The 2,413-nt window shown below is 33.5% G+C and overlaps 1 annotated feature.

Annotated features, from left to right (window-relative positions):
- Positions 1,684–2,194: an enhancer, noted in NCBI's record as "NANOG hESC enhancer chr14:84875883-84876393 (GRCh37/hg19 assembly coordinates)". NCBI's record gives its function as "activates a minimal SCP1, AML or CMV promoter by ChIP-STARR-seq in primed H9 embryonic stem cells {active_cell/tissue: H9 hESC(primed)}" and the evidence as "EXISTENCE:reporter gene assay evidence [ECO:0000049][PMID:30033119]".

Genomic DNA, 2,413 nt, shown 5'->3' on the forward strand with positions numbered 1-2,413 from the left:
GATTACTTCATTGCTTGAGAGAAATTTGCTCCTAATTTTTCTTTCTCTTCTGTCTTTATTGAGTTTAAAAAATTATTATTTAAATGTCAATGAAATAAGGTTAGAAGCAAAAAATGTTTAGTATCTGTATTAGTCCGTTTTCATACTGCTATAAAGATACTACCTAAGACTGGTTAATTTATAAATAAAAGAGTTTTAATTGACTCAGTTTTGTATGACTGCAGAAGACTAAGGAAATTTACAATCATGATGGAAGGCAAAGGAGAATCAAGCACCTTCTTCACAAGGTGGTAGGAGAGAGAGAGTGCAAGGAAACTGCTACTTTTAAAACCATGAGGTCTCATGAGAACTCCCTCACTATCATGAGAACAGTGTGGGGGAAACTACCACCATGATCCAATCACGTCTGTCCCTTGATATGTGAAGATTACAGATCCTTCCCTCGACACATGGGGATTACAATTTGAAATGAGATTTAGGTGGGACAGAGCAAAACCATATCAGTTTCTTCCTGTGTTGTTATTGTGAAATAGTTTCTGTTCAAGTCAAAATATCTATTTTGTAAATGTTTGGTCGATATTACCACTAAAAACATATGATTTCCTCAAAATATGTATAGGGCCATTTTTTGTGCCTTTTTATTTGTTTGGTTGGTATTATTTTGTTGGTGAGAAAATATTTATCTATTTTTCAAATTAATATAGGGTTTTTCAAATTTCTCAACTTTTCTTGAAACTATTGTAGTGATTAATGTTTGGTGACTTAGATAAGATTCTTATATGTTACCAGATTATTTAAATGTTTTGCAAAAAGTTGTTCTCAATATTTGCTTATTAATTTTTTTAATAAACACATCTCCTATAGTTATATCTTTCTGATTTAAATGGTTCTTTTGTTCTCGTCTTCTTTTTTTCTGAACAATTATCAGAAGTTTTTCAAATTTATTAGTCCTTTGAAAGAACCAACAGTTGGTTCTGTTGGCTTTATTTTACATTTTTTTTTTTTTAATTTCAGTAGTTTCTCCTTTTTTCCGAGTTCTTTTTGTTATAAATTTTAAGCTTATTTTCATTTTGGTCAGAAGCTTAATCAATATTCTAGAAATACAAGAGAATATTAAGAACAGAAGATGTCACTCATTATTATTTGCCAGAAAATCAGTATTGAATCTAAAAGGTAATTTTGCATAGACATATTAGGTAGTGGTACTAATTAATAAAATATATTATTGATCTATATATGATTTTATGTTATTGTCTCAGTGCTACAAGCATAGATGTAGGTGCTATGTCCTCATTTAGTATTTCCTTGGTTGATTGTATTTCGTTGGTTGATTGTTTTACTTTGTGACTGAACTACAACATAAGAGAAAATGAAGACATGATCCCTGATTTGAAGACACTGATCATCTTGGCTGCCTATTATTTGCTCTACCCAAAGGCCATATCCCACTTTAGGCAGAAATAATAAATGGTGGTACACTCCAGGGAACCTTCTCCCACATCACCTACCTGGCCCCCTGTATGGTCTATGTGTCTAACAAGGTCTTTGATTGTTTTTAAGCAACCCATTCCTAATTATGTAAAGGATGGTTACTAATCCACATTTCTGTTTATTTTTTACTGTATATTTTTGAAATTAACACGTAATTCAGGCATGCCTCATTTTGTTGTGCTTCACTTTATTTTACTTAATAGATGAGACATTTTTTACACATTACAGGTTTGTGGCAACCCTGAATTGAGCAAGTCTCTTGGTGCTATGTCTTTAACAGAGTGTGCTCATTTCATGATTCTGAGTCACATTTTGGCAATTCTTGAAATATTTCGAACTATGATAATTTGTGACTGGTAATCTTTGATGTTACTATTTGATATAGTTTGGCTCTGTCCCCACCCAGATCTCATCTTGAACTGTAGTTCCTGTAATCCCCTCATGTCACAGAAGGAACCCGGTGGGAGGTAATTGAATAATGGGGATGGTTATCTCCACACTGTTCTCATGATAATGAGTGTGAGTTCTCATGACATTTGATGGTTTTATAAGAGGTTTTCCACACCTTTGCTCTGCACTTCTCCTTGTGCCTGCCATGTGATGAAGTATGTGTTTGTTTCCCTTTTCACCATGATTATGTTTCCTGAGGCCTCCTAAGCCCTGTGGAACTGTGAATCAACTATACCTCTTGCCCTTATAAATTACCCAGTCTTGGGTATGTCCTTATAGCATTGTGAAAATGGACTAATACGCTATTGTAATTGTTTTGGTGCACCAGCAACTATACCAATATTTGATGGCAAACTTAATAAATGTATGTGTTCTAACTTCTCCACCAACCAGCATTTCCTCTATCTCTCTTCCAGTTCTTGGGCCTCTCTATATTCTAAGACATAACAATATTCAAATTAGGCAATTTAAT

This window comes from Homo sapiens, chromosome 14 (genome assembly GCF_000001405.40).
Source record: "Homo sapiens chromosome 14, GRCh38.p14 Primary Assembly".
Classification (NCBI taxonomy): Eukaryota; Metazoa; Chordata; class Mammalia; order Primates; family Hominidae; genus Homo; species Homo sapiens.